A 10966-nucleotide genomic window follows, 5' to 3' on the forward strand; every position below is an offset into this window, starting at 1 on the left:
AGGCATGTGCCATCATGCCCAACTAATTTTTGGTTTTAGTAGAGATGGGGTTTCACCATGTTGGCCAGGCTGGTCTTGAACTCCTGACCTCAAGTGTTCTCCCCTCTGCAGCCTCCCAAATTGCTGAGATACAGGTATGAGCTACTGCACCCAGCCTGAATGCATTTTATCTTTTATCTTTTTTTTTTGAAACGGGGTCTCGCTCTGCCATCCAGGGTGGAGTGCAGTGGCGCAGTCATGGCTCGCTGCAGCCTCGACCTCCTGAGCTCAGGTGATCCTCTCACTTCAGCCTCCCAAGTAACTGGGACTACAGGCGTGCACCACCACACCTGGCTAATTTTTTATAGATCTAATTTTTTAGAAAGTAGAAGTAATGGGTTGGGCATGGTGGCTCACGCCTGTAATCCCAGCACTTTGGAGTCAAGAGATCAAGACTATCCTGGCTAACATGGTGAAATCCCATCTCTACTAAAAATACAAAAATTAGCCGGGCGTGGTGGCGCACGCCTGTAATCCCAGCTACTTGGGAGGCTGAGGCAGGAGAATTGCTGGAATCTGGGAGGCGGAGGTTGCAGTGAGCTGAGATCACACCACTGTACCCCAGCCTGGGCGACAGAGTGAGACTCAGTCTCAAAAATAAAAAAAATAATAATAAAAAATGGACATTGTCAAGCCAGGCATGATGGCTTGCACTTGTAGTCCCAGCTACTCAGGAAGCTGAACGAAGAAGATCGCTTGAGGCCAGAAGTTTGAGACCAGCCTGAGGAACAGAACAAGACCCCATCTCTACAAAAATTAGGCCGGGCGCGGTGGCTGACGCCTGTAATCCCAGCACTTTGGGAGGCTGAGGCAGGTGGATCACCTCAGGTCGGGAGTTGAAGACCACCCTGACCAACATGGAGAAACCCCATCTCTACTAAAAATATAAAAAATTAGCCGGGCGTAGTGGTGCATGCCTGTAATCCCAGCTGTTTGGGAGGCTGAGGTAGGAGAATCACTTGAATCCGGGAGGCGGAGGTTGCAGTGAGCGAAGATCACACCATTGTACTCCAGCCTGGGCAACAAGAGTGAAACTCCATCTCAAAAAAAAAAAAAATGAGCTGGACGTGGTGGTGCATGCCTTTAGTCCCAGCTACTCAGGAGGCGGAGGTAGAGTTGGAGGCTGCACTGAGCTATGACTGCGCCCCTGCACTCCATCCTGGAAGACAGAGCAAGACCCTGTCTCTAAAAAAAAAAATTCAGGTTGGGCATGGTGGCTCACGCCTGTAATCCTGGCACTTTGGGAGGCCGAGGCGGGTGGATCACCTGAGATCAGGAGTTCCAGACCAGCCTGGCCAACATGGTGAAACCCCGTCTCTACTAAAAATACAAAAATTAGCCAGCCATGGTGGTGCAGGCGTGTGGCTGGAGGAGAGTGAGTGAGGGGCTGCGTGGGAGGAGAGGTGAGGACAGAGAGGTCGGGGGCAGATCTTGCAGGGCCTCGGAGGCTGCTGTGGTTATGAGGGCATCTCTGACTCCCCTTACTCTGGCCTCCTCTCTCCGCCACAGAGCTCCCCCATCCAGGAATCCACTGCTCCCGAGCTGCCTTCGGAGACCCAGGAGACCCCAGGCCCCGCCCTGTGCAGGTGACACCACTCCCTGGCCCCCTGTCCACCACCCCTGCCCGCTGTCCTTGTTCTCACCAGTGGCCTCTCTCCACAGCCCTCTGAGGAAGTCACCTCTGACCCTCGAAGATTTCAAGTTCCTGGCGGTGCTGGGCCGGGGTCATTTTGGGAAGGTGAGGTGGAGGGCAGGGAATTGGGAGACCCCCCAGGTCCCTGGCTGGCCGCTAAAACCACCCCTGCCCACTGTGGTTCCAGGTGCTCCTCTCCGAATTCCGGCCCAGTGGGGAGCTGTTCGCCATCAAGGCTCTGAAGAAAGGGGACATTGTGGCCCGAGACGAGGTGGAGAGGTGGGGACCTGCCGTGGTCCTCTGGGGACCTCTTTCTTCTCTTTTGGGAAATGACAGAGCAGTTCTCTCCTTGGAGCTACAGGGAGAGTGACTCATAGTAGTCACTAACGCCAGGCACAGTGGCTCTTACCTGTAATCCCAGCACTCTGGGAGGCCGAGGCAGGTGGATCACTTGGGCTCAGAATTTCAAGACCAGGCTGGGCAACATGGTGACACCCCCATCTTTACAAAAAATACAAAATAATTAGCTGGGTGTGGTGGCACATGCTTGTAGCCCCAGCTACTCATGAGGCTGAGATAGGAGGATCGCCTGAGCCCAGTAGGTCAAGGTTGCAGTGAGCTGAGATCGCGCCACTGCACTCCAGCCTGGGCAACACAGTGAGACCCTGTCTCAAAACAAAAAGTCACTAATACCTACTAGCCTAATACCAAGATAATAATAGCTCTTAGGAAAGTTATTCATTTGTTCCTCCATGTAGCCCTATAAGATAAATACTGATGGCACAGAGAGGTTCAGCAATTTACCCAAGGTCACACAGCCAGTAAGCAGCAGGTCCAGGATTCAAAGCTAGAGACTCAGGCTCTGAAGCCTGTGCCCTTTGTGGTGCCACCATACTGCCTCTGCTTTAGGGTCAGGTTCCTGGGTTCAAATCTCAATTCTGCAGCATGGGCTTGGAGATCCTGGGGAGGTCACTTCTCCCTTCAGAACCTCAGCTTCTTGGCTGGGCATGGTGGCTCACGCCTGTAATCCCAGCACTTTGGGAGGCTGAGGTGGGCAGATCATCTGAGGTCAGGACATCGAGACCAGTGTGGCCAACATGGTGAAACCCCGTCTCTACTAAAAATACAAAAATCAGCCAGGCATGGTGGCGGGTGCCTGTAGTCCCACCTACTTGGGAGGCTGAGGCAGGAGTATCGCTTGAACCCAGGAGGCGGAGGTTGCAGTGAGCCAAGATCGCACCACTGCACTCCAGCCTGACTCTGTCTCAAAAAAAAAAAAAAAAAAAAAAAAGAACCCCTCTTGTTGTGGAGAAGCAGAATGCTATTGCCTTCCACACATGGTTGTCAGGTGCTCTCTACACAGTGCCTAACCCCTCTAAACATTCGGTACAGGCACTGAGATTGTGCCTGGTCTTCCCAGCATCCTTTTGATAATCAGGAACCCAACTGAGAAAGACTGAAACAAGTAAAGAAATTTATTGGTCTGGATCTGAAAAGTCCAGGAGTGTGCTACCTTCAGGCATGGCTGTATCCAGGTGCTGAGATGACGTTTCTCAGTTCTGCTTCCCTCTGTATGGGCTTTGGTTGCCATCTGGGAGTCTGGAGTAAGTGGCGGCCATGGTCTCTGACTTCTATCCCCCACCCCTCCCCAGCCTGATGTGTGAGAAGCGGATATTGGCGGCAGTGACCAGTGCGGGACACCCCTTCCTGGTGAACCTCTTCGGCTGTTTCCAGACACCGGAGCACGTGTGCTTCGTGATGGAGTACTCGGCCGGTGGGGACCTGATGCTGCACATCCACAGCGACGTGTTCTCTGAGCCCCGTGCCATGTGAGCCTGGACCCCAGCCCGGGCCCCTGCCTCCCCTACAGCATCTGACACTTAGTCCCCCCGAGAGGCTGGCAGCCTGCTTCTCACCCCTCCACCCTCAGGCCTTGCTTCCCTCAGCCTCCCAGAGCTTTGGGGAGACTGGGGGGCTTTTGAGGATGTGGAAGCCAGGCTTATGTGACCCTCCCTCCTTGCAGGGTGGCCCCACCCCTCTCAGCAGCCTCTCTCTCTCTGCAGCTTTTATTCCGCCTGCGTGGTGCTGGGCCTACAGTTTCTTCACGAACACAAGATCGTCTACAGGTGTGTGCGTGTGTGCATGCATGTGCACACTGCCCGTTGTGGGGACAGGACCCAGACCCCCGCTCATCCCTCTTTCCACCCCTCCAACCCCCAACAGGGACCTGAAGTTGGACAATTTGCTCCTGGACACCGAGGGCTACGTCAAGATCGCAGACTTTGGCCTCTGCAAGGAGGGTGAGGGGCTGGCCTCTGGATTAGACAAAGGAGGGGGAAGGAATGGGGTCCCTAACCCTATTCGGGGTGCCCCCCACCCTGACCCTGGGACAGGGCTGGCTGTGTGGACAACCCCACATTGGGCTGAGTGACTCCTCTGGCCCCCATAACCTCACATGGCCTTGCTGTCCCCAGGGATGGGCTATGGGGACCGGACCAGCACATTCTGTGGGACCCCGGAGTTCCTGGCCCCTGAGGTGCTGACGGACACGTCGTACACGCGAGCTGTGGACTGGTGGGGACTGGGTGTGCTGCTCTACGAGATGCTGGTTGGCGAGGTGAGACCCCGCCCCTGTGTGTCTCGGATCTCATTGGAACCTGCGCGTGCCCAGGGTGGGATCCAAGTCTGCCTCCACCATGTGTTGTGTGATTGAGGGCTGCTGGCTCTGCTTCCCTGGCCTCAGTTTCCACATCTATAAAATGGGGCATTTCCCTGCCCAAGTAAGCCAGCACCCAAGAGCTGCAGCAGAGTGTGGGGCTCAGGCCGGGCTGGGTTTGGAGCAGCCAGAGGAGGGGCCTCGTTCACCCCGGGCCTCCCTCTCCCCAGTCCCCATTCCCAGGGGATGATGAGGAGGAGGTCTTCGACAGCATCGTCAACGACGAGGTTCGCTACCCCCGCTTCCTGTCGGCCGAAGCCATCGGCATCATGAGAAGGGTGAGGACCCCCGACGTGGGGCGGGCCTGGGGAGGGGCAGTGGGGCCCAGGAGGGGACAGATCCTGACACAGTGCTCCTTCCTCCAAGCTGCTTCGGAGGAACCCAGAGCGGAGGCTGGGATCTAGCGAGAGAGATGCAGAAGATGTGAAGAAACAGCCCTTCTTCAGGGTGAGATTCCCCACAAGGACCTCAGTGACCCCGGCCCTCCCCCAGGGCCGATTCATCACCCCACAGCAGACGGCCCCCATGCCTAGCCGCTTTGCCTCAAGGGCCTCGTTGCGCCTCAAGGGCCTCGTTGCACCTCCAGGGCAACATCGTCACCTCCTTTGACACCCCCATTTCCCTCCTCCACTTTTGTTCCCCCCAAGGACCCTCCTAATCCCACATCTCCACTTTTCCCTTTTTTTTTTTTTTTTAGCCAGGGTCTCGCTCTGTCGCCCAGGCTGGAGTGCAGTGGCTCAATCTCGGCTCACTGCAACCTCCGCCTCCCAGGTTCATGCAGTTCTCCTGCCTCAGCCTCCCGAGTACCTGGGATTACAGGCGTGCACCACTCCACCACACCAGGCTAATTTTTGTATTTTTAGTAGAGACGGGGTTTCGCCATGTTGGCCAGGCTGGTCCTGAACTCCTGGCCTCAAGTGATCCTCCCGCCTCGGCCTCCCGAAGTGCTGGGATTACAGGCCTGAGCCACCACGCCGGGCCTCCACTTTTCCTAATCCGGCTTCTCCACCAGGCTCTCGCAGGTGATCCCTCCTGAGCCCCAGTCCCCCCACCCCACTTGTCCTCTGTATGCTCACTCCTCTCCGTGGTCCCCGAGCCCCAGGACTGGTCCCCACTGCAGCACGCCCCCTCCTCAGCCTCCAGGCTGACCCTCCCCTCCGCTTCCCTCCCCTGCAGACTCTGGGCTGGGAAGCCCTGTTGGCCCGGCGCCTGCCACCGCCCTTTGTGCCCACGCTGTCCGGCCGCACCGACGTCAGCAACTTCGACGAGGAGTTCACCGGGGAGGCCCCCACACTGAGCCCGCCCCGCGACGCGCGGCCCCTCACAGCCGCGGAGCAGGCAGCCTTCCTGGACTTCGACTTCGTGGCCGGGGGCTGCTAGCCCCCTCCCCTGCCCCTGCCCCTGCCCCTGCCCGAGAGCTCTTAGTTTTTAAAAAGGCCTTTGGGATTTGCCGGATCCTTGCATCCTCCGTGTCTTCTTGTGTGCAGTCATTGGGGGTGGGGGCGTGCTTGGAGGTGTGGACGTTTGCGGGGCAGGTGGCTGGGTGGTCGTGGGAGTCTCGACTGATGGGGGTGTCATCTGAAGAGGATCAAGGGGCGGCGTGGACTCGGGGCTGTTCTTATGGTGGGGAGCGTGGGTGAGCCGAGATGGGAGGGGGCGTCGGGATTGTGTTGGGGGGCGCCCAGGGGCGTGGGGCAAAATGGTTTGGGGATAGGGTTTTGGGGCTGTATTGGAAGAGCTCAAAGCCGCAGTGAGCAGAATGGTTTCGGAAGTCCGTTAGGGCAGCGGCAAGGTCAGGAAACGCCCCACACACCCTCTGTCTCTGCTCCCAGCGGAGCCCCAGCCCCGGCCGCCCGCACGGTGCGCTTGCTCCTGCGGCTCTGGCGCCCACGGGCCCGGCACCCTCGAACCTCCTAGAACCGCGCCCCCGTGTCTCCGCGCCCTCTTCTGGTAGGCCCCGGAACTGCATCCACCCTGGAGGCGCACGCGGCGTCCCTGCAGCCCCCCGCGCGGCCCCAGTGGATGCCGAAGCCCCGACGGGACACACGGTCCTGCCTGGGCTCGCAGAATGGCTTTTTATTCCCAAAGGCTCTGCGCCGCGCACCTGGGCCCAGCCCAGGGTGGGCTGGCTTAGTCGTTGGGCCTCTGGTTGTGCTTAGAAGTGGCTGAGGCCGCTGTGCCGGGAGCTGCGCAGCGAGCTGGCCTCCCAGGCGCTCGGTGTTAGGCCCAGCCCCGCGGGGCCGCCCTTGGCTCCGGCCCTCGGGGGCAAGAGGCGAAGCAGTTGGCGCAGCACGGCCTGGCGCAGTAGGATGTACACCCAAGGGTCCAGGATCTGGTTCCAGGAGGCAAGGCGCACGGCCAGGAACAGTGGCCGCTGCAGGGAGGTAGAGCTCCAGCCGCCGACGGCCAGCGCCACCAACACCTGCGGGGGAAGCCGGTGTGAGCTATAGAGCAGGCGCGGGCGCAGGGGGGCGCAGGGATGGTGGGGGCGTGGCTGGAAGGTAAAAGCCTGGGAGGAGGGGCGAGCCGTCGCAGGGAGGGTAAATGGGGATCCAGATGAGAAACGGATGCGGAAAAAAAAGGGGGGCAAAGAAACAAACACCTTCAGTGGGTGGGGGTCCGGCCGTAGAGGAGTCTCAGGTGTCCCGGAAAGAGGAAAAGCAAGGGGGTTGGGTGAAAGGACTAGGGAATGAAGCGCGGCGACTTATAACGGTGGGGCAGGAGAGGAGGCTTGTGTGGGTCGGGGTGCGCTACAAAGACCCCAAAAAGGAAGAGGAGAGGGGGGCTAGGAGGAAGGATGGGAGGTCAGATGGAGAAGGCGATGCTGGCTTTCGGGGCAGGTGGGGCCTCTAGGGGCCGGGGCCTTGGTTGAGTCCAGGATGGAGGCCCCAGGTGTCCTGGGACGACAAAGGGCGGGAGGGTGCCGAGAGGGAGCGGGAAGGAGCGTGGCTCGAGGGGCCGGTGCGCCCCTCACCAGCATTGGGCTCCAGCAGATGCACGACACCACCATGATACCGACAAGCTGGCCCACCATCTCCACGTCGTGGGCGCGAGCTCTGCGTGCCGAGCCGCTGCTCCGAGAGCCGCCAAAGAAGGTGGAGGCCGAAGCGATGGACGAGGCGGACGAGGCGGAGGCCGAGCGGGGTCCGTGCGCCCCCCAGCGACGCCGGCTGTCGGGGCCTGAGGCCGGGGGAGGCCGTCGGGAGCGGCGTCGCCAGCGGGCGCGTAGCAGGGCCAGGCCGCTGAGCGTGTTGCACACCAGCGCGGCGAGGAGCGCGACCAGGCCGAGGCTGGCGAAGAGGCCAGCAAGCAGTGCCTGGCGCCAGCCGCCCGGGGGACCCAGGCCGATGAAGCACCACGTGCCCGGGTACTGCAGCTCATAGCGGCCCACGCGCGCCAGCGGCAGCAGCGCCACGGCCAAGGCCACCGCGGCCACCGCGGCCAGCGCCAGGCGCGCGCGGGCGACCGAGACCCGCGCGGCGTGGAGCAGCGGCCGCGTGACGCCCACGCAGCGCTCCACGGCCATGCCACAGCCCAGCAGCAGCGGGCACAGGCCGAAGAAGACCATGCAGCCGCCCAGGAAGTGGCAGGCCCCGCCGGCCGGAGCGCGCCCCGCAGTGTACAGACGCAGCACCAGCGCGCCCGGGATCACGTGGCCCGCCAGGTCGGTGGCCAGCAGGCTGGCCACGAACAGCAGGAAGGTGGCGGCCGAGCGGCGGCGTCGCAGGCGGCCCGCGGCCTGCGCCAGCAGCGCCAGCGCCAGCAGGTTGGACACGGCGCCCAGCGTCATGGAGAAGATGGGCAGCGCGGGCGAAGCGCCCGACGGCGGCACGGCCGACGTGTTGGGGACCCAGGGCGCCGCGCATGTGGTCGCCTCGCCCGCCAGGCTCAGGTTGAGGGGCCCGCAAGGGCTCATGTCAGGCGCCAGGGGTGCTGGATAGAGGAGAGGAGGGCAGAGTGAGGCTGGCTGGGCCCGGGCGGGGACCAGCCCACGGTGCCATCTCAGAACATCAGGGCCTGTTTGACTCCATGGCGTTCTCAGGCGGCCCCTCTGCCCATGGCAGTTGCCATGGGCAACTCCAAATGACCTGGCCACTCCATTTGGAAACCCTTCTCCCTCTCTTTTGCCTCTCACCACCCCATCTCCTGCTCCAGGGCCTCCCTCTAACCCCACTGGCCCTTTCTCTGCCCTTCATGGTTTCCTGCAAGATTCCCCCCAGCCCCGCCCTCAGGCATCTCTGCCAGTGCCTCCGACCCCCACCTTCCATTTTTACACCCAGCAAATTCCTGGGGCCTGTGGCTCCATCTGATAGCTCTCACCCATTTCTGCCACTGTGGCCCTACCTGACTTTCCCCATGTCAGCTTTACTCCAGTCCCATCCTCGATGCCCCAGCCCCATCTCTACCACCACGGGCACATCTCTCCCCACGGCCATGTCCCTGTCCCCCATGGACCCATCTCTGACCCCACATGGCACAGCCACATCTGTGCCATGGACCCATCTCTGCCCCTGCCCCATGGACCTGCCTCTGCTCCACTGCGGTCTCTCGCCAGGCCCTACCCCGATCACCTCTGCCTCACCCTGGGTGCCCACGGTTCCACTCCATATCCCTGCCCCAGAGGCCTGGAGGCGGCCCCACGACCATCCACTCTTTGATATCCTGGTGGTGAGGGCTGAAAGGGCGGAACTGCCCACCAGGCCAGATGGGAAGGGAGGATGGACAGACGGTAAGACAGGGACGCACAGATCAGGGAGAAGAGCCCGGGGACACAGGACGGACAGCAGGTGGCCATGGCCCCACCCCTTCATGCCCTCCTCCTCCCCAATCAGGGACCCTCATGTGCAACCCCCTTACCCGGCACTGCCTGGGATGTGGGGTCCCCATCACCGGCCGCTCAGCCCTGCCGCCCACTGCGCCCTGGCTCTCCGGCAAGCCGCTTCCTCCCTCCCTCTTCCTGGGGCGGCTCCTCAGCTCCTCCCGCCGCCCTTGCTGGCCTCCAGGGGCCGCTCCACCCCGCGCACGCCCGCTGGGGGCCTGGAGTGGCAGAGACCCCCCTCTCTGCTCCTGGCAATGGGCGGGGGCCACTCTGGGCCCCAGCGGCTCCCTCCACGAGGAGTGAGGCTCCCTGGAGTTGGTCTGGCCCCATGTGACCCCCTCCTCCCAGCAGGGCGGGAGCAGCCCCCTTCCCCCCCAGGATCGGGCCTCTTGCCTCATTAATAAAGCGGATAAAATCTAAACACTGGAAAATGTGAGCGTCGTCTGGGGCGGGCTGGGGCAGCTGCAGGGGGTGCCACTGCCCCCCTCCCTGGGGCTTTGGAGCTAGAGAGGCTAACTCCAATTCTGTGGGGCCAGCAATGCCCCCCCTGCCCTGCCAAAGCCTTCGTGGATGTCGGGGTGGGTGCTGGTGGGCAGGGCCTCGGGTAGACCAGCTTGGGTCAGGCCCAGCCTGGCCAGGGGATCCGCCTATTTATACAGGGGCTTAAGCCCCGGCTAGGGCCACAGCGAGTCATATCCTGGGAGGAGGCTGAAAGGGGGCAGGGGAACCAGGAGGCCTGGCGACCTGGGGACTCTCCCCAGTGACTGGCTCCTTTAAGATGGGCTGAGTGACACCTGTGACACACGTCCTAAGACACAAAGACTCGCCTCCTGCCCTGAGAAGTAGGGTCACACTGGCACAGCCTCACACCCTAAGACATACAATCCTGTCACTTACCACTCAGTTTCATCCTGTCCCCATCTCAGCACAGCCAGGTTGCTGCCGCCACATCCCTGAACTCAGGGTCTTACCCCCAGCGCCGGGACGCACCCAGAGTTACTGCCTCAATTCCAGCCCCTCCCAACACCCCAAAATGCAGCCCTCTGAGATGATCACCCGAACCACCCTCCTTAGTGCTGGGAAATAGGGTCTCACTTGGCACCCCGAGAGATACACACACGCACACACACTCCTTATTGCCAAAACTGCCCCTGACCACACTCTGTTTGACTTTCAATGACCCCTCAACAATCCCAGACAGGCCCCACCAGCACACTCCGTACACCCAAGGCACAAGAAGTGACACCCCCCGCCGCTGGACACCAGAGACCTAGCTGGCCACCCCCACCCTCACCCAGAAACAGCAACGCCCTGAGACACACACACCTGCACCCCTAGAGACCCCTAGACCTAGCCAGCACCCCCACCCAGGAAACAGCAACACCCCGAGACATACCCTGACACCCCTGAACACCCCAAGGCCTAGCCAAGCACCCCTCCTTGCCCCAGAAACAGCACCCTAAGACACACACCCCCACACCCCGGGACACCCCAAGACACAGTCACTCCGTTGCACTCCCCACCACCAGACACTGCCAGTTACACCTGCAATTGCCCTGGAACACAGAGCCGGTTATCACATCCCTTACCCACGACACAGCCCTCCCTCATTGCGTCACGAGCCATCAACACTCTTGATAGACTCACAGTGCTACCCAACACCCGAGACACACATAGCCACACCCCTTCACCACCGCAAGCGGCTCCCAGCACAGACACCTGAGGAGCCCACAGGTGCCCGGGGATGCCCTGAGTCACC

General features: G+C 61.2%; 2 protein-coding genes across 3 annotated transcripts in view, besides 4 other annotated features; one reads left to right on the forward strand and one right to left on the reverse strand.

Annotated features, from left to right (window-relative positions):
• PKN1 (protein kinase N1) overlaps positions 1-5843 on the forward strand; it is a 38554-nt gene extending 32711 nt beyond the window's left edge. For both annotated transcript variants that reach the window (NM_002741.5, NM_213560.3), the window contains exons 13-22: positions 1549-1625; positions 1702-1777; positions 1860-1951; positions 3325-3501; positions 3736-3798; positions 3896-3972; positions 4147-4289; positions 4559-4666; positions 4755-4835; positions 5565-5843. In NM_002741.5, the coding sequence (NP_002732.3) occupies positions 1549-1625; positions 1702-1777; positions 1860-1951; positions 3325-3501; positions 3736-3798; positions 3896-3972; positions 4147-4289; positions 4559-4666; positions 4755-4835; positions 5565-5768 (1098 nt within the window). In that variant the 3' untranslated portion in view covers positions 5769-5843. The remainder of the gene's footprint in view (positions 1-1548; positions 1626-1701; positions 1778-1859; positions 1952-3324; positions 3502-3735; positions 3799-3895; positions 3973-4146; positions 4290-4558; positions 4667-4754; positions 4836-5564) is intronic.
• Positions 5683-6331: an enhancer, noted in NCBI's record as "H3K27ac-H3K4me1 hESC enhancer chr19:14582511-14583159 (GRCh37/hg19 assembly coordinates)". NCBI's record gives its function as "activates a minimal SCP1, AML or CMV promoter by ChIP-STARR-seq in primed H9 embryonic stem cells {active_cell/tissue: H9 hESC(primed)}" and the evidence as "EXISTENCE:reporter gene assay evidence [ECO:0000049][PMID:30033119]".
• Positions 6169-6258: a silencer, noted in NCBI's record as "silent region_10253". NCBI's record gives its function as "represses an Ori minimal core promoter by ATAC-STARR-seq in GM12878 lymphoblastoid cells {active_cell/tissue: GM12878}" and the evidence as "EXISTENCE:reporter gene assay evidence [ECO:0000049][PMID:35858748]".
• On the reverse strand, positions 6450-9338 carry PTGER1 (prostaglandin E receptor 1). The gene is made up of 3 exons (NM_000955.3): positions 9246-9338; positions 7363-8321; positions 6450-6810 (listed from the first exon to the last, which is right to left on the reverse strand). The coding sequence occupies exons 2-3, from the start codon at positions 8302-8304 to the stop codon at positions 6544-6546; spliced, it is 1209 nt and encodes a 402-aa protein (NP_000946.2). The 5' UTR covers positions 8305-8321; positions 9246-9338; the 3' UTR covers positions 6450-6543.
• Positions 9323-9991: an enhancer, noted in NCBI's record as "H3K27ac-H3K4me1 hESC enhancer chr19:14586151-14586819 (GRCh37/hg19 assembly coordinates)". NCBI's record gives its function as "activates a minimal SCP1, AML or CMV promoter by ChIP-STARR-seq in naive H9 embryonic stem cells {active_cell/tissue: H9 hESC(naive)}" and the evidence as "EXISTENCE:reporter gene assay evidence [ECO:0000049][PMID:30033119]".
• Positions 10408-10890: a silencer, noted in NCBI's record as "fragment chr19:14587236-14587718 (GRCh37/hg19 assembly coordinates)". NCBI's record gives its function as "represses an EF-1alpha promoter that drives an FKBP-Casp9 reporter gene in an ReSE screen in HepG2 liver carcinoma cells {active_cell/tissue: HepG2}" and the evidence as "EXISTENCE:reporter gene assay evidence [ECO:0000049][PMID:32094911]".

The sequence above is a fragment of the Homo sapiens genome, chromosome 19 (genome assembly GCF_000001405.40).
Source record: "Homo sapiens chromosome 19, GRCh38.p14 Primary Assembly".
In the NCBI taxonomy this organism is placed as follows: domain Eukaryota; kingdom Metazoa; phylum Chordata; class Mammalia; order Primates; family Hominidae; genus Homo; species Homo sapiens.

Coding starts and splice junctions, on each gene's coding strand:
- PTGER1 (NM_000955.3), bottom strand. CDS start 8,304: ATGAGCCCTTGCGGGCCCCTCAACCTGAGCCTGGCGGGCGAGGCGACC. Junction 6,811..7,362: donor TCTGCTGGAGCCCAATGCTG/GTGAGGGGCGCA, acceptor CTTCCCCCGCAG/GTGTTGGTGGCGCTGGCCGT.